The 23687-nt window shown below is 42.7% G+C and overlaps 1 protein-coding gene across 2 annotated transcripts in view, besides 3 other annotated features; it reads right to left on the reverse strand.

The window, feature by feature from the left end:
- LRP2 (LDL receptor related protein 2) overlaps positions 1–10963 on the reverse strand; it is a 235426-nt gene extending 224463 nt beyond the window's left edge. For both annotated transcript variants that reach the window (XM_011511183.4, NM_004525.3), the window contains exon 1: positions 10750–10963. In XM_011511183.4, the coding sequence (XP_011509485.1) occupies positions 10750–10828 (79 nt within the window). In that variant the 5' untranslated portion in view covers positions 10829–10963. The remainder of the gene's footprint in view (positions 1–10749) is intronic.
- Positions 5867–6051: a silencer, noted in NCBI's record as "fragment chr2:170213948-170214132 (GRCh37/hg19 assembly coordinates)". NCBI's record gives its function as "represses an EF-1alpha promoter that drives an FKBP-Casp9 reporter gene in an ReSE screen in HepG2 liver carcinoma cells {active_cell/tissue: HepG2}" and the evidence as "EXISTENCE:reporter gene assay evidence [ECO:0000049][PMID:32094911]".
- Positions 10814–11447: an enhancer, noted in NCBI's record as "H3K27ac-H3K4me1 hESC enhancer chr2:170218895-170219528 (GRCh37/hg19 assembly coordinates)". NCBI's record gives its function as "activates a minimal SCP1, AML or CMV promoter by ChIP-STARR-seq in primed H9 embryonic stem cells {active_cell/tissue: H9 hESC(primed)}" and the evidence as "EXISTENCE:reporter gene assay evidence [ECO:0000049][PMID:30033119]".
- Positions 11448–12081: an enhancer, noted in NCBI's record as "H3K4me1 hESC enhancer chr2:170219529-170220162 (GRCh37/hg19 assembly coordinates)". NCBI's record gives its function as "activates a minimal SCP1, AML or CMV promoter by ChIP-STARR-seq in primed H9 embryonic stem cells {active_cell/tissue: H9 hESC(primed)}" and the evidence as "EXISTENCE:reporter gene assay evidence [ECO:0000049][PMID:30033119]".

Consider the following 23687-nt stretch of genomic DNA (forward strand, 5'->3'; position numbering starts at 1 on the left):
TCTTCTGGTTGCTTCCATTTTCACAGTTTTAAAAAGCTCACTCTACATGTGAGAAGGTGATGTCAGAGGTTTGAGGAAAGAGGAGAAGATATAAGGAAGCAAGAGAGGCAATAGACAGACTAGGAAGCAAGTCCTAAGCTTGAGATTGGCTTCATGAATGTCAAGCGAGGCTAGTCAGTATAGTTGTGTTTTTCTCCTGCCATGTTTAGCTACAGAGTTGCAGATGTGGAGAACTGGATTTAACCAGGATCAGGGCCTTGCCAAGCACAACAGAGCCAGATAAAGGGGCCAAGCTGCTGAGCGCGTATGTATGCAGGGAAGTGAAATTAATGATGGCCATAAAATATAAGCTGAGGAAGTAAATAGGTGAGGGATTTGAGGGATGGTGAAGAGGCGGTAGGATCAACAAACTGTAAGTCCCAATGAGGTCAACAAAGAGTTGAGGCTGGGATACAAAGGAAATGAGCCATGAAGTTTTTCAATACTTCCATTCCAAGCATGGAACAGACAGCTTCTCTAGAAGCCAGTGGGCTGTGTCAGGGGTGTTCTGAGATGAATTCAGATTCAGGTGAGAAAAGATTAGAAGACCTGCAACAGTTATTTACCTCAATGAATCCAACGTTCTTAGGAGGGTCTGGGGGGAACTTCAAAGGTGACCAAGGTAAGAACAAAACATACAATTAAGACACAAACAGTGGCATATTTAGGGAGAGGTTCAGGACCTGCCATGCTGGCCAAAAAAGGAGGTGGCCAGGAATGAGGGTAGTACTTCATGTCACCCTCAGACTTAAAAGAGTCCTGTCCTTCTTGTTGTAGCTAGCTTGTAACATTCCCATCCAAAAGAAAGAGATTTAACAGAGTATATTTAACTGCCACTGAAGAAATTTGCAGTGGTAAGTCAGTTCACCTCTAAGTCTGTTTACAAAACTGAAAAATGAGAGGGTACCTAGATCACACGTTCCCAAAAATTGGTCCAGCCCTCAGAATCACCTTGAAACTTTTAAAAATACAGATTTTCCACATTTTCTTTATCTAGTCTATCACTGATGGGCATTTGGGTTGGTTGTGGCACATATGCACCATGGAATAATATGCAGCCATAAAAAGGAATGAGTTCATGTCATTTGCAGGGACATGAATGACGCTGGAAGCCATCATTCTCAGCAAACTAACATAGGAACAGAAAACCAAACACCGCATGTTCTCACTCATAAGTGGGAGATGAACAATGAGAACACATGGTCACAGGGGGGGGAACATCACACACAGAGAGGGGAACATCACACACCGGGGCCTGTCAGGGGGTGGGGGCCAAGGGAAGGGAGAGCATTAGGACAAATACCTAATGCATGTGAGCCTTAAAACCTAGATGAAAGGTTGATAGGTACAGCAAACCACCATGGCACATGTATACCTATGTAACAAACCTGCACATTCTGCATATGTATCCCAGAACTGAAAGTAAAATAAAATAAAATTTTTAAAAAACACAGATTTTCATACCCCTGCTTTAGTAAGGGTGAGTTTTGATTTAAGAATCTCTATACTTTTTTAAGTTCCTCAGGTGATTTTGATGATATGTCAAGTTTGGGGAGCTAGCTGACTTTGTCTAGGGTCCTTAGAAATTCTAACAATCTGTAAGTTATTGTGATGAAATAATACTTTTGAGAACATAACTAAAACCTTCTCAAAGTTGGATTCCCCCTGGATAGGATCAAGGAAACACGTAGCCCCATTTGCCCTGGCAGCCATATCAGAATCATATGGGAAGCCAGACCGCACACAAAGGTGAAACTTAGGGGGGAGTAGGGTCAAGGAAAACACAAAGAAAGAGAACTGGAGCCCTGACTGCACCTCGCCTGAACCCCACTCTGCCTCAGTATTTTTTACTCACATAAGCCAAGAAATACCCTTTATTGTGTAGGCCATTTTGAGTTGGGTTTTCTGTTTCTTGCAACAAAAAGTATTCTCCACACCCTTCCCCACATCAAAATTAAACCAGTGTGGAAGTACATGCTAGCATGTATCACCCCCCTTCTAGTGAGATTAAAATGTGGGTAGGATTGCCATATTTCTGATAAAATACTTTCATTCTTAAATTCAACTTTAAGAATTTCCTGACAAAATAAATGATTTCAGCCGGGCATGGTGGCTAGCGCCTATAATCCCAGCACTTTGGGAAGCTGAGGCGGGAGGATCACTTGAGCTCAGGGGTTTGAGGCCAGCCTGAACAACATGGAGAAACCTCATCTCTACAAAAAATATAAAAATTAACTGTGAGTGCTGGTATGTGTCTGTAGTCCCAGCTTCTTGTGGGGTTAAGCGGAGAGGATCTCTTCAGCCTGGGAAGTTGAGGCTGCAGGGAGCCATGCACTCCAGCCTGAGTGATAAAGTGAGACCCTCTCTGGCCTGGGTGATAAAGTAAGACCTTGTCTCAAAAAATAAAAATAAACGATTTTGATTTTTTCAACCTTTACTCAGGAAATTTTCTCCTTGTTAATGACATAAAAACCAAAGAACTGGGCCCAAAGTGACAAGCAAATCACTGACAGTATAAGACAGAATATTTTTATAGAGGAATCCAAGAATGTCCAGCATAACAGAAGTGTAGCTACTTTCCTTTTCGTCTTTTTCAGGTTTCCTCAACACCTTCAAAAGTACACATGCTCTTACTTAATGTGAATCAGTAGATCAGTGAGGAAAGACTTATTTTCAAAGTTACCAGGAATCTTCATGTGTTATTCGCTGATAGTACATAAATTTAAAGGAGACCTTGGATATTGCTTACAAACTTGGATCTCAAGATCTGGACAATAAATGCGCCATTGTATCCATGGTAACAGTGGCTCAACTATTCAATGCACAGAATGGTAATTACATTTCCTCCTTTCATTCATTTCTCACTGTTTCCAGTAACCTTGAGGTCAGGCATGACCTGAGGGCTAATGACCAAAAGTGAAACTTCAAATTGTCTAATCTGTCATTATCTAGGAAAGACTTACATTTCTTTGCACTGAATTTCAGTGCTATCCTAAATCAGAAGTGTCCTAATATAAAAGTTAACCATCTTATTTTTAGAATGATAATGTCTCCATTTTCTCAGCTAATGTGATTAGAGATAAGACTTAAATTAGAGACCAACAAAGTAACCATCAGCAAAGAGTACATATATCTGGCATTTCTGAATTAATCCAATAAGGTGTGATGGATACGTGTTCTACCATTTATGAAAGAAGTCCATAGATGAAGTGCTAAGGACACTCAGATGTGCACCAAGATGTGTTCTGTCTCCACAGAAGCATCTTAACCTGTCTGCAAACTCTTTAAGCTTCTTTCTCTCTACCCCATCCTTATAGCAAAGGACTAGTGCTTGGAAAACAGACAAACTCTTAGGAACATAAACATTGGAGTGAAGTAAATTGGAAAAGGAGTAGGAGCCTAAGATTCACAGAAAAATGAAATACTGCACCAGACTTAAGGGATCCTGTAGTCTGATCGCTCAGCTCATTTTCCAGAACTTTCCTGTCTATCACAAAGCTCTGCTCCAAATAAGAAAACTTTAGGATCCAAATAAACCTTCTAAAAGTCCTTCTTTCTCCTGTTCTCCTTCTAAACTTAAAGTTGCAACATGGTCACATGGGCACAGATCACCATGTCTTTTTTCTTAATGTTTCCAATACTTTATTCCTTTCAATTCTGTAAGTTACCCCAGGGCTGCCAGCTCTTGAGAAATTTCTGTAGCTTTTTCAAGTGTGTCTTCACATACAAAATGAAAATAACATCGTCAGTCAATTTTATCTGATAAGGTATACTGAACACCTGTTATTTTTGCATCCCAGCCTCTGTTCACCATTCTCCCAATAATTACCCCCATTTCTCTCTGGACTCCACCCCTTCATACATGATCTCAAAGACTGAGTATACAGCCCAAGCCTAAGCCATGGGAACACATCATGACCCGGGATTCAGTGGTTGGTTCTCCAATGAGTTTATGACCTAAGTAGAGACCCTGAGATGCAACTGAAACTTTTGCTGGGAATAGCTAAGATAAAAACTCTTTTTCTTTCCCAGTGGATGTGATCTGATAGGAGGTGGCTCCAGAGCCACTGACAGCCGCTTTACATCAAAGGAGAACATGTTTAAGAATGGAGTCATCTCAGAGCCAGGAGACGGAAAAAAGACAAGATTGGCCTGACATAGTTTGAGCCTCCATTTTATATTAGGTTGAACCAAATGAAATTGCCAATATTTGACTATTTCTGCATAGGAAAAAAAATCAATCTCAAATGGATCAACCTAATTATCTGTATCTTTTCAACTATGTATTTATTTTCTTTGAGACAGGGTCTCACTCTGTCGCTGAGGCTGGAGTGCAGTGGCATGATCACAGCTCACTGTAGCCTCGACCTCCTGGGCTCAAGCGATCATCTCACCTCAGCCTCCCAAGTAGCTGGGACCACAAGGGCACACCACCATTCCTGGCTAATTTTTTGTATTTTTTGTAGAGATGGAGTCTCACTATGTTGCCCAGGCTGGTCTCAAACTCCTAGGCTCAAGCAATCCGCTCACCTCAGACTCCCAAAGTGCTGAGATTTATAGGCATGAGCCACCACACCCAGCCTCAACTATGTATTTCAATAACCTTCCTTTTTTGCCTCAGACAGTTTAACTTAGTTTTGTGACATTCACCAACATAACAGTACTGAATAACATGTGAAGTTGTGGTAGCCACTGTAAGGATGTAACAACATGCACAGGTGCATCATTCTCAGACCCACGGTAAAGAAGATACCAAAATACTGCAACATCTTCCTCCTCTCAAGTTTGGAAAAAGTAAAATTCTCGTATTGGGTAATAATGATGAATGGAAATCTATATGAGACTTCACAGTTTATTAAACATTTCACATTCATTGCCTTTGCATAACCACCCCGTGAGGTAGATATATGTCCATTTTACAGATAAGAAAACTGCCCCAGAGCACCCAGCATGTGTGGTACTGGATTTCCCAGATAATAAATGGCAGAGGTAGGAATCAAACCAAGATCCTCCAACTTCAAAATCACAAGCCCTTCCCACTTCATCTCAAAACACTGTAACTGTCAAGAAATTACTTCGGAAACATTTGCATTAGGAACATGTGAAGAACCACAGAAATGCTCTTGACATTTCAAAACAACTACTAGCTGATCATTATCAAGAAGCATCCCAGAACTCGGATGCTGAAACATCTCCAATCTTTCTAATGCTGGTGAGATCCTGGGCAGGGTTATTAGGAATGAGTCAATGACTATTTCAGAATCTTAAATGCAAAACTGCAGTCCATTTTAATTGCGAGATATGTAGACACCTCTTTTCAGTTCTCATCTTCCTTAATGTTTCTGTAGTATTGATACTATTGACTCATCAGCACACTGTTGATATTTAATAAATATTCATGGAAAAAATAAAATAAACATTCACAGAATACACAATAGTGGTAAAAATTTTTAATTACTCAAGACTATAAAGTTAATAGGATACGATAGAACCATTTGATTTATACCAAAGGTTCCATCAAGCTTATTTTTTCCATGCTAGAATAGGGCTTCACAATTAGTATTTTTTTAGTTGCTCTAGATTCGTGCAGTCAACCTTGAGAACCCCTTTCCTATCCATTCAACACTCTTTCATAAGCACCTTCTACTTTCTTTTCTTTTTTTTTTCTTTTTTATTTATTTTTATTTTATTTTATTTTATTTTATTTTATTTTATTTTATTTTATTTTATTTTATTTTTGAGACAGATTCTTGCTCTGTCACCCAGGCTGGAGTGCAGTGGCACAATCTCAGCTCACTGCAATCCCTGCCTCCTGTGTTCAAGCAGTTCTCCTGCCTCAGCCTCCCGAGTAGCTGGGATTACAGGTGTGCGTCACCACGCCCAGCTAATTTTTGTGTTTTAAATAGAAACAGGGTTTCACCATGTTGGCCAGGCAGGTCTCGATCTCCTGACCTCATGATCCTCCCGCCTCAGCATCCCAAAGTGCTGGGATTACAGGCATGAGCCCCCACGCCCAGCTCAGCACCTTCTACTTTCTACTTACCTTGTTCTAGCTACTAGGACTTAACAGAAACTCCAAAGCCAATATGACAATGCACTTGCTTCTGATTACACAGGAAATACATCTAGGTTCCTGGTATCATTATTTTTAAATGATAATTTAAAATTTTAATTTAAATATTTTAAAAACCTTTCAGTGTTCTTACAGTGCCTGACTAGAGAACATGAACAATGATTATGACCTAATAATTACCTTTAGTAAGACTGAAAACCTAGTCTTACAGCAGCCTGCACTACAAAACCCAAAGATCTTCAGGAATGCGCTTTGATGGCTCAAGAATTTGAAAAATGGATCTGGAGGTATGGTCTTTGGGAGTAGGGGCACTGACATGGCATCAGTTCTGGACCAAGCTGAAAGCGCATGGTACATGGTTGTAATAACCTATCACAGGATTCCTCTTTGGCCAGGGACAGGTAACCCATCCAATTGTTTTTAAGATTCATCTGCTTATCAGACTGTGCCTTATCTGGCAAGTCAGGATTCCAAAAGGAATCTAGAAATCTCAACCAACCAAACAGGCTGGGGACATTCAGAAGGCATGAATCTAAAAAATGGTCCACTGCAAATTTATATCTTAGCTCTGTCACAGGCTAGATGTCCTTAGGCAAGAAACCTATTAACCGCCTTCCCTTTCATCCTCTCAGCCCCTTTCTTCTCCCTCCTGGGCTAATTGCTTATCTGTAAGAAAAAAAAAATGCAAGCAGACCAGTTGATATCTAAGGTTCCCTCTAGCTGTAAAAAGTCTGAGTTTCTATTAAAATGAGACAGGTGCATGACTGAAGGGAGTTCAGGCAGAAGTCTTATGAAGACTGGTAAAGAGAAACTTTTTCAAGTAGAGAAAGAGAAGCCAACAACTGTGAAATTAAAGCAGCAGTGAGGTTCCAGAGTTGTGATGGAATAAAAACGATACAAGTTTGCTATTGCCCCCACAATCCTTTTAAACATATAAACTTCATGTGAAGATGTAATTGTCATAAAAGCTGATACTAACTCTTAAAAACATTACCACATTTTTATTGGATTAAAGAATATAATGTTGGACCAGGTAAGGTGGCTCCTGCCTATAATGTCAGCACTTTGGGAAGCAGAGGTAGGAGGATCATTTGAGGCCAAGAGTTCAAGACCAGCCTGGGCAACACAGTGAGACCCCATTTCTATTTTTGAAAAATAAGTTTTTTTAATTAGTAAACAGAATACAACTTTGTTTAAGGCCAATACGATTTTCTCAAAAAAAAAAAAAAAAAAGAAAAAATCTTCCAATCACATGCTAGGGTCTGAGAAGTCTTCAGAGAACTGTTAGTGAAAAATGCTTAAAGAAGACTTTCCTTTGTATATTTGAAAATTGGAAATGGAAATAGGAATAGGAAGCAAAACAATATGTTACTTTAAGGGTTGATAAATATAATAAAAATATTGTATTTTTAGATTATTTTCTAGTTTATTTTCACTGTCTATATGCTTTACACCATGCTAAGCACTTGGCATATTTTATCTCTTTATGCTTACAAGATGTCATTGGGTAAATTCTCTTATTATCTTGTCAATTTTGCAGATAAGCCATCTGAGCTATGCAAAGTTGGTTGACTTTCCCAAGGTCACACAGCTAGAAAGTGGTAAAGCCAATGTTGGAACCCAACAGCTTGACTCGAGTTCAGACTCTGCAAAATGTTTTTTCTTGAAAAGCATTACACAAAAGATAAGGAAAATGCAAATAATTTTTAACAACAGATGTGGTATAATTTTTTTCAAAGACTAAACATAGAATACTCAGAGCTCTTTTTTTTCCCCTCCAATTTTTAGTGATGCGAAGTTTGCAATGGTAGCCTACCTAAAAGGTAGTGCTTAAATAAAGGCTGTTACAATCTCATTGGATTTTACTTCATATATTAAGTCAGGATCATTACAACAGGATTCTAGAAATCTCAACGTATCAGGCAGAGGACATTCAGAGGAAATGCGTCTTAAAATGATCAAGTAGGAAGACTGGGAATGGGGAGACTTGGGTTCTGGTCTTAGAAACCTGAGGAGAGATTCTGGAAAAAGATCCACAGTTATGAAGCAGCAGGTGGTACGAGTTGCATATTGCCCCTCAGCTTCTTTGGGAACCTCAAACATGGACAGTAAGTTAGGGAGCATGACATTTTTTGTACAAAAGAAAAAAGAGAAATCGGGCCAGGTGCAGTGGCTCACACCTGTAATCCTAGCACTTTGGGAGGCCTAGGCGGGCAGATCACTTGAGGTCAGGAGTTCAAGACTGGCCTGGCCAACATAGCAAAACCCTGCCTCTACTAAAAATACAAAATATTAGCTGGGCATGGTGCCCCGGGCTTGTAGTCCCAGCTACTTGGGAGGCTGAGGTGTGAGGATCGCTTGAACCTGGGAGGCAGAGGTTGCAGTGAGCCGAGATTGCACCACTGCACTCCAGCCTGGGTGACAGAGCGAGATTCTGTCTCTCTCAAAAAAAAAAAAAAAAAAAAGAGAGAGAGAGAGAGAGAAAACCAGACACTGTATACTGTAGCAATTATAGACTCTGAATTCAGAATCCCTTGAGTTTGCCATTTTCTAGCAGTATGAACTGAGACAAATTACTGAATTGTTCTGTGCCTCCACTTTCTCATCTGTAAAACAGTGATAATAAGAGTACTTACTTCCAAGGGATATTATGAAGATTAATTGAGTCAATAAGTATAAAGTGCTTAGAACAAAGCCTGCCACATATATGTGTATGCTAGGTTACTATTACTATACACATTATTATTATATATTATTATCATAGAATGGAAGATGGATGGGTGCAAAAAACTATCAAGAAGAGTAGGTATTGGTTATTTAGTGACTAAATCATCAACCCAGGAAAAAGAATATCTGTTTTGGTTGTACAAGGACATAGATGAATCAAGGTAAGATTTCCTTTTGCCAGGCACTGACAGGAACATATAGTAAATCCTATAGCTATATTTAGGACATGAGATACAACCCTAAGCATTGTGCAAACTCTGCACAATAATAATAAACCCTCTTTCTGCGTTACCAACACTGAGAAAGGGTGTTCAAAGGAAGGTTATTAATGATCTCTCCTTGCCTCTCCTGCCTTTCTGAAGACTTTTGCAAGACCTGTGGGGTTTGTTAGGGTTTCCAAACTTCTTCCCAGGAAGTCTGAAATGGGTGCTGCTAGGAGTTGCTGTATAATTACTTACTTGATTCCCTCTAAGGAGCTTACGCTAAGAATTGAGGAAAGAAAGCAGATTAACCATTTGAATACATGCCACGGCCCATCCACAAGCCCTCCCCTCACTCCTCCGTAAATGGGGGCTTCCACATTCCCCACCCATCAACCCCAATATGTGATCCAGGAAAATCAATTTATTGCTTTGGCTAATCCTACAACAATAGGGGTTTCATTTTCATTGTAGGGCAATTAAGTTGTCCGACGGGAGGGAAGGAGCAGGAGGGGAAAGGGGGGACTCTCCCATCCCCACAGACAGATTAGTCCCTGCGGTGGCAGCAGCGTCCCCTCTGTCTGTCTGGTGGTCGGTCACACGCAGCTCCCGGCTGCTACCTAGCAACGCAAAGCCAGGGGGAGAGCTCGCCGGTTCCAGCCTCCTCCTCGCCCTTCCCATTCATCCTCGGCCGGGTCTCTGTCTCTCTGTCTCTCTCTGTCTCTCTCTGTCTCTCTCTGTCTCTCTCTCTCTCTCTCTCTCTCTCCCTCTCTCTCTCTCTCTCTGTCTCTCTCCTCTCTCTCCTCTCTCTCTCTCTTCTCCCGCCCCAGTCGTTCTCTTCCCTCCTTCTTTCCTTATTCCTATTTGCTTCTCTTACGCTCTCTCCTCTTCCCTTCTTACTAGTTTTATTCTCTCCGCTTCTTTCTCCCTCTCTTTCCCTCTTCTCTGTTTCTGTTAAAACATAAACTATCGGACAACTTGAGAGAAGTTTAAAGCACTTCATACTAGAAACTTTCTGCATTCGATCCCCAAAACTCTGGCCATGCAGACGGGCCCCATTCATCAACACAAAAGCCCCCAGCTCCCAGCTGGAAAGGAAAACTTCAAGAAAAGACTCCAGTCCCTCAGCCACTCTCTCGGCCAATCCCACCTCCCGGCCTTATCTTGGCTCGTAAATGATCTGTATGGTGAGAGCGGTCTCTGGGGGTCACCGCGGGACCAAGTTTCGCCGGTGGTGGGAGGAGTGCTCTGGCCCGCGGCCCTGGGCGCGCGAAGGGATCCCGGGAGGGGCGCTGCAGGTGGAAAGCTGCGCTCTGAGCAGAGCCCGGGACCGCGCCGCCCAGCAGAGAACTCCGCTAGGGAGGGCAGGCTGCAAACGGCGGAGAACCTCGTTCTCCCGCAAAGTGCTTTCCAGGAGCATCGGACCAACGCCCGTGGGAACAAAGACAGGGTCTCCGTGGGGTGCGCTGTCACCGAAACTGGCGGGGCTGCTTTCTCAAGTTTGCTGCCGCTCAGTTCCTGGCGAGCGAAGAGGGGCGCTCCCGCTCCGGCTTCGCGAAGCAACCTGAGCGCCCCACCGGGAGCAGCTCCCGCGCCGCCGCCCGGCCCTAGCCCCTGCCCGGACGCTCTCCCCTCCGGCCTCCCGCGGACCCGACCCTGCCACAGCCGGGGAAGTGGGGGCTCCACGAGAGGCTCTGGCTGGGCTCTTACCTTGGCCACTGGCCGGCGCTAGGCAGGCGACGAGAGCCAGGAGCAGCGTGCACGCCACTGCTGCCGGCCCGCGATCCATCTCCGCGACGGTCCCCGGCCTCGCCGTTCCTTCCCCGGGAGGTGGGCGCGCGTAGCACACCGCACCGGCAGCGCCTCTGCTAGCGAACGCTCCTTTAGGTCTGCACCTCCGCCAGCTCCTAGTGGCCAAAAGCCTGCCCCCACGCCCGAGGCATCCCGTTTTCTACCCGCGCCAGTCCCCACCCTCCAGACAGTGCATAAAGCCCTTTAGACCCGACCGCCCCGGAACAAGCATGCGGGAATCCAGCGGGCAGGCCCCCTGCCGCCCGGCCCGCCCCCTGCACTTTGCAGCGCGGGGAGGAGTGGGCACTCGAACACACGCGTGCTCACACAGGGACACTCACACAGGCGTGTGCACACTCACACACGCACTCATACAGGCGCATGCACTCCTAAGTGTCACACCAACTGACACAGATTCACTCATACACGCCAGTCACACACGCGCGCACATTCCACAGTCACACTTCAACGCCGACATACACAGTCCCCTTTACGCGTGCATACAAGAGCACACTCCTGTGCGCACACTCTCACAGGCACACTCACACGTGCACACGCGCTGCCCTCGCCTCTCCGCAGGGTTTGCCCCGCACAGAAGCCGGCGAGGCGGCTCACGGGGAAATCTGCACGGACGCAGTTTTACTAAATGAGCAATGGAAAGAAATGGACGAGGAGGAAAGTCAAGAATAGAGAAGAGAAAGAAAAAATAAGAAATGGAAAAGGAAAGCACAACCAGACAAGTAAAAATGAAGGAAAGAGAAAGAAAGGGAAAGAGGCGGGGGTAGGGAAGGGAAGGAGTAAAGAGCCTGCTGGATGGAGATCTGTGACCTTCATTCCTGGCCTGATCTCTCTAGGCTCCTTCGGATATCTTGGTTTCCCCTGATAGGATACAGGCTGCTGAGATGGGGTGCTTTGTGTTTTTACAAATTAGAGAGGGAGGTGGATCTTTGTTGGGGAGGTTGGATCCTTATTTAGCAATTATTCAGCACCACATCTACAGGTGTCATGGCCAGATCGTGCTTCTTACAAGTCTGCTCATTTTGAAGCAAAATTGAAAAAGAGCGAACGTCTTCTCCATGGTTCCGGTACCCTTTTATAAGAAGGAGAAACACGAGAGGTTCAGGGAACCCCTAGCCTCCCTTCTTTGGGGCCGCTTTGGACAGGCTGGCAAGGGGCCCGGAAGCCAAAAGCACAAGTGGCCTTACACCCGCCCTCAGCGCACGTCCTCAGCCTGTACGTGACATCAGAGCCCACAGGGAGGGGTAAAAAAGGAGGGTTGATGCAAGTTATTTCCCGGTGGTGGGAACCCTGTGTGAGAAGGGGCTGTTTGCGGGCCTGAGGCCATCCCATCATCTCCAGCTCCAGCCCCTGAACCAGCGCGGCAGCTAGTCCCAGGCTCCGGATCCTGGTCCAAGAAGTCAGGAGCCCTTTCCCTCCAGCGAAGGGGCCGTGACGCATGGAGGAGACAGCCCTGAACGCACGTGGTCGCTGGACAGGTTCCCGCTGCCTCCCTTCCCCAGGGGCGAGAACCTGCCAATTACTGCCAGCCCCTTTCCCCGGGGCACAGGTCGTCCGGGGCTCTGCTGACCCCAACAGTCCGGATCGCGTAGCTTCCGTGGGCTGCAGTGGTAGGCGCAGCTTTAGGTGTGGGGGCTAGGGGAGGGAAAGGATAGGTGTTACTTTGGAAAGACAAAAAGAGATAAATAGACACAAAAAGAGAAAACTTAGGCTTAAAGAAAAAAAGGTGGAGCGGGCAGCGTTGTGGGAAAGAGTGGGAGAGATTCCTGGATTGGGAAATCCAGAGGTCTGTGCTCTGGCCAAAGTCACTGGTTCTCTATTTGCCTCCCTGCATAGTGTTGGGCGCTGTGCGGCGCGGAGGAGACAGGACTGGGGACAGGAGAGCCGGGGTCTGGGGAGGGAGGGGGCGACCGGACCGGAGCGGGAGGAGGGAGGCGGCGAGGGGGCTTGATGCTGCACTCCAGTCTTCGCGGGTGATTTATGCCGGTTCCGGGCGGCCGAGGCGATGGTACGAGACCGCGCCGGGGTCAAGCCGGTCCGACGCCCGCTGGGGCCGCGCTGCATAGTCAATGAGCGTCCCCGCACCTCCGACTTACAAAGAGCGGCCGCCGGCTGGCGGGAGGGAGGAGCGCGAGTGCGGGAGGGGCTGGGCTCCCTCCAGTGCGCCCGTGGGCGCGCAGGCGCGAGCGTGTGTGTGTGTGTGTGTGTGTGTGTGTGTGTGTGTGTGTGTGTGTGTGTGTGTGTGTGCCCTTTCACTGTAGCAGCCAGGGCTCCAAACATTCCTTTCTGTACTGAAGAGTTCCTCAATTGTTGTTGTCTTTGTGCTCCAGTGTTGCCAACTTACTGGAATTCCTGACGTGGTTGCACAGCAGGGCTCAGGCTGACCGTACTAGCCAGCTGCGTTTGTGTATGGGGCCGACCCCGCCGTTAATCCCAGAATAACGCAGAAGAGGGGAAAGGAGGGAGGGAGAACGGGAGGTAGGAGAGCAGAAAAGGGGTAGGGATGGGGGACCACCTAGCGGAGCACAGCCCATCATTCGCAGCACTCTGTATGTGGACCCACACACTTTTCCACTAGAATAACCCATTTTCTCAATGCAATCCCCAATTCGTGACGTTTGAAAACAGCCTGCACCATGCACGTGTTTATCTCTGGCATCCATACCTGAGAATGCCTGTTACTAGATTGGGGTGATTAAATCTATGGACCAGTATCTGGGAAAGCCCAGGTTAATTCAGTTGCAATTTAAGCCAGCAGTGTTTCTCTATAATGCAAAAAGATAATTTCTTTAGTTTTCACATTTCTCTCTCCATATATGTATATAGGACTTTTCAGAGCAGTCAACCGAAAGAGACAGGTGAAAGTGAAACCAAGAAGCTTCAGCACCACCATTGCCCCAGAAGCCAAGCTGAAATTTACATCATTCTTGACTCCTTCTTTTTTCCACCCCCATTGCCAATCAATCATGAAATTCTGTTACCTCAAATTTATCAATCCACTCATCAATCTAAATTATAGGGAGAGCCTTAGAATGAGCTCCTTGCTATCAGTTTTGCCCCCTCCCATCTACTTTCCATTTGGCAACCAGACAATTCAACTTGGTAGTTCTATCAAACTAGTGCTTGCAAACAGAGGTAATTACTTTTTAGAGGGTAATGAAATCAATTTAGCAGGTCAAGGCAAGAATTATATTCAAATGAAATATAACAACATAGAAACCAAAATAACTTTCATGTGGAAAAGATATGTATAACTTTATAACACTACTGTTTCTGTGTGTGTGTGTGTGTGTGTGTATGTGTGTGTTTCCTCCTGAGTGCCTCCTGAGTTTCCTCCTGAGAGCCAACTGCCCCCTGAACAGCTCCAATCCAATGTCCTAAGGCCTCAAACTCAGCAGGATGGAGCCCAAACCAATACACACACACACACACACACACACACACACACACACTGTGTCGCCATGTAAAATATATTTCTCATATGCATCTCAGCCAAAAAAGTTTAAAGTATCTCCCCACAAATTACTTATTCATTAAAAAGGGAAAAAGTGACTTTAAGCAGAAAAATATGTCAGATATTTTAATATGTTTCATTATTATTTAAATATGATAAAGTCAACAGACCAAAAGATAACTGCCATTGAAAATATAGTTTGTTATATTCACAGATCCCAAGAGAAGGAGTACACATCTTGCCTCAAGGGACCACACAGGGAAGCAGAGGGCAAGGGGAGAAGTGTGGGCAAGCTCCTTTACTATGGTTTCCACCTAAAGGAACAGACAAGGCAGAGTAAGCAGGTTTAGGACTGACTAATTTGTATTTATAAAACAAGCAGGAGGTCAAAGCAAGATGACTAATATGTCAGGCATATTAACAGATTATCTAGAACAAAGTGTATATGGCATGTGCATGCAGGACAGATGTTAAACATGAAGTTTAGGCCCAGCACAGTGGTTTATGCCTGTAATCCCAGCACATTGGGAGGTTGAGGCAGGAGAATCACTTGAGGCTTGAGCCTAGGAGTTGGAGGCTGCAGTGAGCTATGATCACATCACTGCACTCCAGTGAGAACCTGTCTCTCTCTCCCCTATATATATTAAGGCATTATATTTATAGAAGCTAGAAATGTGGTAAATACAATAGGCTCTACATTGAACCAAGGAATCAAAGTCAACACAACAATCAAAACTAATATGAGGCAAACTGACATCATGTTCCTCCTGGTGTGACACACTCTGAAGGACACAGCAGCACTTCTGTGGTATTACTGTGCATGCCCCAAATCTAAGCATGAGAAAACATCAGTCAAACCAATGTTTTCTCATTTTTTAGAATGTCCAAACTAAGGGACATTTAAGTACTAAAGTACAGTATTTGCAGTATATTTTGTATACTTCAAAAATGGCAAGGTCATAAAAGATAAAGAAAGGCTGAGATATGCAGTTTAGAAATATGCAGTGCATGACCCTAGGGTGGATCTTGGACTGGGAAAAAAGTATCTCTAGAGGATGTTATGGGGAAAATCAGATATGCATGCCCTCAGAACTCTCTTTACTTCCCTCAGCCCAGCACTTGTCACATTTGTTGTGTTCCCATGGCCTTCTCAAAATTCTTCTCCCTCTGCAACCAGAATAATCTTTTTTAGTCATTATGCCAACCATACACTTGCCTGATTACAACCTTTCAATCACTTTTCCATTTTTCCACAATAAAATGAAAAATTTTTAGCATAGCCTACAAACCCTTGCATGATTGGGCCTTTGACAATATCTCAAACTTTACTTGACAGTTCAGCCACCCTGGCCTCCACTTGGTTCTTCGAACATGTACTACGTGCTTTCGCAGCCTTGAAGGTGAGATTAAGATACGTAGGTAACCCTCCCAAGACTAAACCAGGAAGAAGTTGAATCCCTGAATAGACCAATAACAGGCTCTGAAATTGAGGCAATAATTAATAGCCTACCAACCAAAAAAAGTCCAGGACCAGATTGATTCACAGCCAAATTCTACCAGAGGTACAAGGAGGAGCTGGTACCATTCCTTCTGAAACTATTCCAATCAATAGAAAAAGAGGGAAACCTCCCTAACTCATTTTATGAGGCCAGCATCATCCTGATACCAAAACCTGGCAGAGACACAACAAAAAAAAAGAGAATTTTCGACGAATATCCCTGATGAACATTGATGCAAAAATCCTCAATAAAATTCTGGCAAACTGAATCCAGCAGCACATCAAAAAGCTTATCCACCATGATCAAGTGGACTTCATCCCTGGGATGCAAGACTGGTTCAACATACACAAATCAATAAATGTAATCCAGCATATAAACAGAACCAAAGACAAAAACCACATGATTATCTCAATAGATGCAGAAAAGGCCTTCGACAAAATTCAACAGCCCTTCATGCTAAACAATCTCAATAAATTAGGTATTGATGGGATGTATCTCAAAATAATAAGAGCTATTTATGACAAACCCACAGCCAATATCATACTGAATGGGCAAAAACTGGAAGCATTCCCTTTGAAAACTGGCACAAGACAGAATGTCCTCTCTCTCCACTCCTATTCAACATAGTGTTGGAAGTTCTGGCCAGGGCAATCAGGCAGGAGAAAGAAATAAAGGGTATTCAATTAGGAAAAGAGGAAGTCAAATTGTCCCTGTTTGCAGATGACATGATTGTATATTTAGAAAACCCCATCGTCTCAGCCCAAAATCTCCTTGAGCTGATAAGCAACGTCAGCAAAGTCTCAGGATACAAAATCAATGTGCAAAAATCACAAGCATTCCTATACATCAATAACAGACAAACAGAGAGCCAAATCATGAGTGAACGCCCATTCACAATTGCTTCAAAGAGAATAAAATACCTAGGAATGCAACTTACAAGGGATGTGAAGGACCTCTTCAAGGAGAACTACAAACCACTGCTCAATGAAATAAAAGAGGATACAAACAAATGGAAGAACATTCCATGCTCATGGGTAGGAAGAATCAATATCGTGAAAATGGCCATACTGCCCAAGGTAATTTATAGATTCAATGCCATCCCCATCAAGCTACCAATGACTTTCTTCAAAGAATTGGAAAAAACTACTTTAAAGTTCATATGGAACCAAAAAAGAGCCCACATTGCCAAGACAATCCTAAGCCAAAAGAACAAAGCTGGAGGCATCACGCTACCTGACTTCAAACTATACTACAAGGCTACAGTAACCAAAATAGCATGGTACTGGTACCAAAACAGAGATATAGACCAATGGAACAGAATAGAGCCCTCAGAAATGATACCACACATCTACAACCATCTGATCTTTGACAAACCTGAGAAAAACAAGAAATGGGGAAAGGATTCCCTATTTAATAAATGGTGCTGGGAAAACTGGCTAGCTACATGTAAAAAGCTGAAACTGGATCCCTTCCTTACACCTTATACAAAAATTAATTCAAGATGGATTAAAGACTTAAACGTTAGACCTAAAACCATAAAAACCCTAGAAGAAAACCTAGGCAGTACCATCCAGGACGTAGGCATGGGCAAGGACTTCATGTCTAATACACCAAAAGCAATGGCAACAAAAGCCAAAATTGATAAATGTGATCTAATTAAACTAAAGCGCTTCTGCACATCAAAAGAAACTACCATCAGAGTGAACAGGCAACCTACAGAACGGGGGAAAATTTTTACAATCTACCCATCTGACAAAGGGCTAATATCCAGAATCTACAAAGAACTCAAACAAACTTACAGGAAAAAAACAAACAACCCCATCAAAAAGTGGGCAAAGGACGTGAACAGACACTTCTCAAAAGAAGACATTTATGCAGCCAACAGACACATGAAAAAATGCTCATCGTCACTGGCTGTCAGAGAAATGCAAATCAAAACCACAATGAGATACCATCTCACACCAGTTAGAATGGTGATCATTAAAAAGTCAGGAAACAACAGGTGCTGGAGAGGATGTGGAGAAATAGGAACACTTTTACACTATTGGTGGGACTGTAAACTAGTTCAACCATTGTGGAAGTCAGTGTGGCGATTTCTCAAGGATCTAGAACTAGAAATACCATTTGACCCAGCCATGCCATTACTGGGTATATACCCAAAGGATTATAAATCATGCTGCTATAAAGACACATGCACACGTATGTTTACTGCAGCACTATTCACAATAGCAAAGACTTGGAACCAACCCAAATGTCCATCAATGATAAACTGGATTAAGAAAATGTGGCACATATACACCATGGAATACTATGCAGCCATAAAAAAGGATGAGTTCATGTCCTTTGTAGGGACATGGATGAAGCTGGAAACAATCACTCTCAGCAAACTGTCTCAAGGACAGAAAACCAAACACCGCATGTTCTCACTCATAGGTGGGAATTGAACAATGAGAACACATGGACACAGGAAGAGGAACATCACACAATGGGGCTTGTCGTGGGGTGGGGGGAGGGGGGAGGGATAGCATTAGGAGATATACCTAATGTAAATGATGAGTTAATGGGTGCAGCACACCAACATGGCACATGTATACATATGTAACAAACCTGCAGGTTGTGCACATGTACCCTAGAACTTAAAGTATAATTTAAAAAAAAGATACGTAGGTCAGAGAGGCAGAGGTCATGGAGTTGCCTCAGTTCCTTACGGCTCTCTAGATCTAGATCCTAACCTAGCGTATCCTTACAAAAATTCCCCCTTTTGCTTGAATAAGCTTGAATTGACCTCTGCCCTTTGTAAAACAGAGCTAGACTGAAATGATCAACAATTGCTAAGAAGACATCATAAGGCATCTCACCTACTAGTCAGCTCCAGTATTTATAATACTTTTTTCTTGAAGCCTTTTTAAAAATAGCAATAATAACTTTGGACTCACCAGCCTGAGGACCAGGTTCTGAGCCATAAATTAACAGCATATCTCTGGTGTGCAGCCAGGGCCAGGAAAGCCACAGCAAGATCTGAAAGGACAGCCAGTGCAACAGACATATTTTCCACAAACAGAAATGAAGACACCAGGTATAATATCACAAGGGAATCCTCTTGGTTTGCAAATAAAGTTATATGACAAGTCTTGGCAAAGGTTTAAAGAAACAACAGAGACTCTAACAAGTCTCACTGATTGAAAAAAAGTTAAATAAAATTAAGGCTTTCCAACAACAACAACAAAAAATCCAGGATATAAAGACACCATTGCAGGAAGACCTGGGATTCAGTTACCTGGGGCTAAGGCCATCACAAATGCTGCCATCAGTCCAGGATCACTAGCACCAGAGTCAAGACCCTGTGCAGGGAGATTTCAGAGTACACAGTAAGGAAGCCTAGGAATAAAGTTAAGAAAGTCAAAATTGTTAACCATACTACATTTAAATTCTTCTCTCTCAAGAGCAGTTTATGCCAGTAAAGATCAGTGAAAACATCTGGCTAGATGAGTCTTGATGGCCAGAAGACCAAGATGATTCCATCAGTCTCACTGTTCCTCTTTTATCTCAGAGACTGAAAAAGTGCTAAAGGTATAGAAAGACATATGATAAGGAGTAGTATATGCAGGAAGAAAACACCTTTGTTTAGTCAGAATGCACATAGGATCCTTCAAGTGAAATCAATGAGGACAATTACTTCAAGGTCACCATTACTTGTAAATCCAGTCTTTGGTGTTCACAGGTTTGGGAACGTGCACCAGAATTCAGCCAAGCTCCCTATCAAAGGAGTCAGGTCTATCTTTTTCACCACCAAATCCCCAGAACCTGGCAAAAGGCCCAATACATGGCAGGTCCTCAGTAAATGTTTGGTGAATGAATAAATGAAATAAGACAGCACAAAGTCTACATTTGGCTTTTGGCATTTCAACCAAATCAGAATCTAGATATTGAACAGACTTCACAGGATACAATTTATGCTGAAGTGATCTTGAGATCTTGAGTACCATGGAAAAACATCCTCAGGGTGTTTCAATTTGAATTTCTCCTTAGTCATACTTGCCTTCAGGACCTACAGTTAACTTTGCAACGTGAGTTGAAATAGAGCAGTGTTTCTCTAATGTCCGTAGAGGACATTTGGCAATATTTGGAGACATTTTTAATTATCACAACTGAGGAGTCCTGCTGTCAACTAGTGGGTAGAGGCCAGGGTTGCTGATAAAACATCCTGCAATGCACAGAACAGACCCCAGAACAAAGCATTATCTGCCCTCAAATTTCAATAGTGCAAGGTTAAGAATCCCTGAAATAGAACAATAGAATTTTAAATATTTTGAGAACAAAGTATTTAAGTTGGATTTCAGACCTAGAGCTCAAGAACAAAATCATAAAATGCATTTAGAAACCACTTCTGCTAATTTCCTTTTTCTAGTACTGGACAGTACAGTGGGCAAAGGACTATAATTCTGTAGATCAAAGTCCAGTCAAAAGAAACAGACATATCTCACTTTCAAGTGGGAGCTGAACAATGAGAACCCATGGACCCAGGGAGGGGAACAACACACACGGGGGCCTGGTGGGTGGTGGGGGGCAGGAGGAGGGAGGGCAACAGGATAAATAGTTAATGCAAGCTGGGCTTAATACCTAGATGATGGGTTGACAGGTGCAGCAAACCACCATGGTACACGTTTACCTATGTAACAAACCTGCACATCCTGCACATGTATCCCAGAACTTAAAACGAAATAAAAAAGAAACAGACATAAGATGCAGCATGCCAAGAAGCATTTCAAAATAGAGAAGCTGCATATTGGTTCCTACGCTTCAGTGATGTTAAAATGCAAACTAAACAAGAAAAATATTTCTTTCCCCTCTCCTCTCTGGTTGAACAACTGCTATTTCTTCCTCAAGCCCTACCTCAAATGTTTCCTCTTTGGTGGCGAAACCTCCTCCAACTCTCCCAGAGCACCTCTTTCTTTTCTATAATCCTATCCCACGAAACACTTACCTTCATTAGGATTCTCAACATGTGAAATAAATTCTTTGATTACTTTTATGTGTCCCCCAATAAACTTTGTACTTCATGGTCTTCTTTTTTAAAATAAACTTTTTAATTGTAGAATAGATTGACTGAAAATTACAAAGAGAGTCCAGAGAATTCCCATATATCCCACACCCAGTTTAGCCTATTATTAACATTTTAAATGAGTATGGTACATTTGTCACAATTAATGAGCCATTATTATGAATTAGAGCACATGGTGTGTTCAGATTTCCTTCGTTTTTTACCTAATGTACTTCTACTGTTCCAGGATCCCATCCAGGGTACCACATATATTTAGTCAGCCTATCTCCTTAAGCTTCTCTTGGCTGTGACGGTTTCTTGGGCATTCCTTGTTTTTGATGACCTTGACAGTTTTGAGGAGTACTGGTCAGGTATTTTGCATGACGACCCTTACTTGGGATTTGTCTGATGTTTTTCTCGAGATTATATTGGAGTTATGGGGCTTTGGGACAAAACCAGTAAGAGCCATTCTCCTCATATTAAATCAATGGTAGATATTATCAATATGACTTAAGTCATGATTTAGGATAAATTTATATCAACCTTGATCACCTGGCTGAAGTTGTGTTTGTCAGTTTTCTCCATTGAACAGTCACTCCGTTTTCTTCCTTTTCATTCTGTACTCTTCAGAAGGAAGCCACTATGTGCAGCCCACAGTTAAGAACTGGAGAGCTGTGCTCCTCCTCCTTGCAGACACAGTGAAGGAATTCTTCTGCATGGATAGATTTGTCTGTTTGTTCCCATTTATTTATTTATTTAATCATATATTTATGTCAACATAGAATCATGGATATGTATTATATAGTTTGGATTATAACCCAATACTACATTATTTTATTGCTCAAATTGCTATAGCCTTGGCCGTTGTGAGCTCTCTCAGTTGGCTCCTGGGTCCCTTTGACATACCCTCATTATTGTGGGGTTTGGGGGCATTTTATTTGTTTCATTGCTATTGTTTTATTTTGTATTTTAGCACTTGCTTGCTTTCCAGCACAGCAAGTTGCCCCAGGCTCATCTTCTGTATTCCCTGCACCAGTCATAAAGTCAAGATCTTCTTTTTATTCTTCATTTCACGAAGAATGAAAATAATAACCAAAATTTACTGAACATTCACTATGTGCCAAATATAAGCTAAGAATCTGGCATGCATATACTATCTGACATTAAACAAAATTCCAACTAATTAGTATGTAATCTACAGACCTTGTTTGTATTGAATTGCCTGGGGAAATATATTGCCTGGGGAAACATTTTATCCTTTAATTTTAGGATGGGAAAGCCTGCCTAAGTAAGGCATGAATGCTACAATCCAAAATGGAAAGGGTTGCTAATTTTGTCTATATAAAAATCAAATGATTATGTAAGGCAAAAAACACCATGAACAATGTTCAAGGACAAACTGAGAAAATACGTTTTACATCTATGACCAAAAAAAGGTTAATGTTTACTAATATAAATAAATTCTTAGAAACCAGTAAAAAGTTGAGTATCCCACTAGAAAAATGATCTGCAAACACAGTAGGAGCTAACATTTATGTGGTGCTTATTAGGTGCTAGACACAATTCAAAGTGCTTTATGAATATAAACTTATTTAATCCTCACAGCAACCCTATGAAGTAGGCACCGTAATTATTCCTATTTTACAGATAAGGAAACTGAGCCCAGAAATGTTGGTTGTGATTTTTCCCAAGATCACATAGCCTGTTAGCAGCAAACCTGGAATTGGAACCCAATCTGATCAGCTCCAGATTATCTAAGCTTGTACTATCCTTGAAAGTAGATCCATGGTACAAAGACTTGGATGTATGTAATTTACTGGGAAATAATTCCAAGGAGTAATAATGAAGGACCAGATAGAGTGAGATGGGGAAGAGGAAAAACTAGGTAGGAGTGCTATATTCATGACAGTTAATTTTGAAAATGCTTCTCAAAATCGTCCACTTGAGGATCATCTAGGAGTAGTATTTATTCACCAGCCCCCATCCCCTACTGGTTAGGAGTTCTCCTCAGGGCATCAATTTCTCTGTATCCTGGGGCATGCATGTGGGCTTCCTCAGCCCACCAGTGTTTACAGCACCAGGGAAGCTCTAGGGCAAAAAGTGACAGCACATCCCATGGGTACCTGGAGCATAATGCTTCCAGTATGAAGTCAGTTGAAGCCCCATTGAGGAGCCAAGTGACCAGAAGTTGTGATACTTTAATGTTCTGTGGTACTCACTGGTGGAATCATTCCACGTAGGAATCAGGATTTCAAATGCAGCAGAGCCTAAGATGTCAGGAATGAGAAGCAAATTCTTGAGCTGATGGTGGGAGGCACCAATCTTTCTTCCACTTTTGGGGACAACGTATCATATATCTACTATATGCCACATCCTAGAGGACAACACTCTAATCTCACCAGTTTTGTCCTTGAACTGGTGATTTAAATGAGAATTTATCATTCCATCTCTCTATTTATGTGGCTGTTTCTAGGAATGAGGTATAAGTAACACCAACACATTCCGAGATCATATACTGATGTTACACTTCCTTCACTGTAAATGCATTGCTTGTGAAAGCAAACTCATATTCAGAGTATTTGTCTATTCTAGTATGGACAAGTCACTTCTCCCTTCATATGGAAAGGGTCTGATGTAATCAACATTCGACCAAAAAACGGATTTTCCTGTTTCTTCTCATGTCTGCATTGGAAATTTGTCCTTTCCTGGGAATTTTTCCATTTCACCAAAATTTTCAAATATATTGCCATCAATTTGTTCATTATATTCTCTTATTATCCTTTGGGGATCTGTACGATTTATAGTATTATCTCTCTTTTCATTGGTGTATTGGCTATTTGCTGTC

This window comes from Homo sapiens, chromosome 2, assembly GCF_000001405.40.
Source record: "Homo sapiens chromosome 2, GRCh38.p14 Primary Assembly".
NCBI lineage: Eukaryota > Metazoa > Chordata > Mammalia > Primates > Hominidae > Homo > Homo sapiens.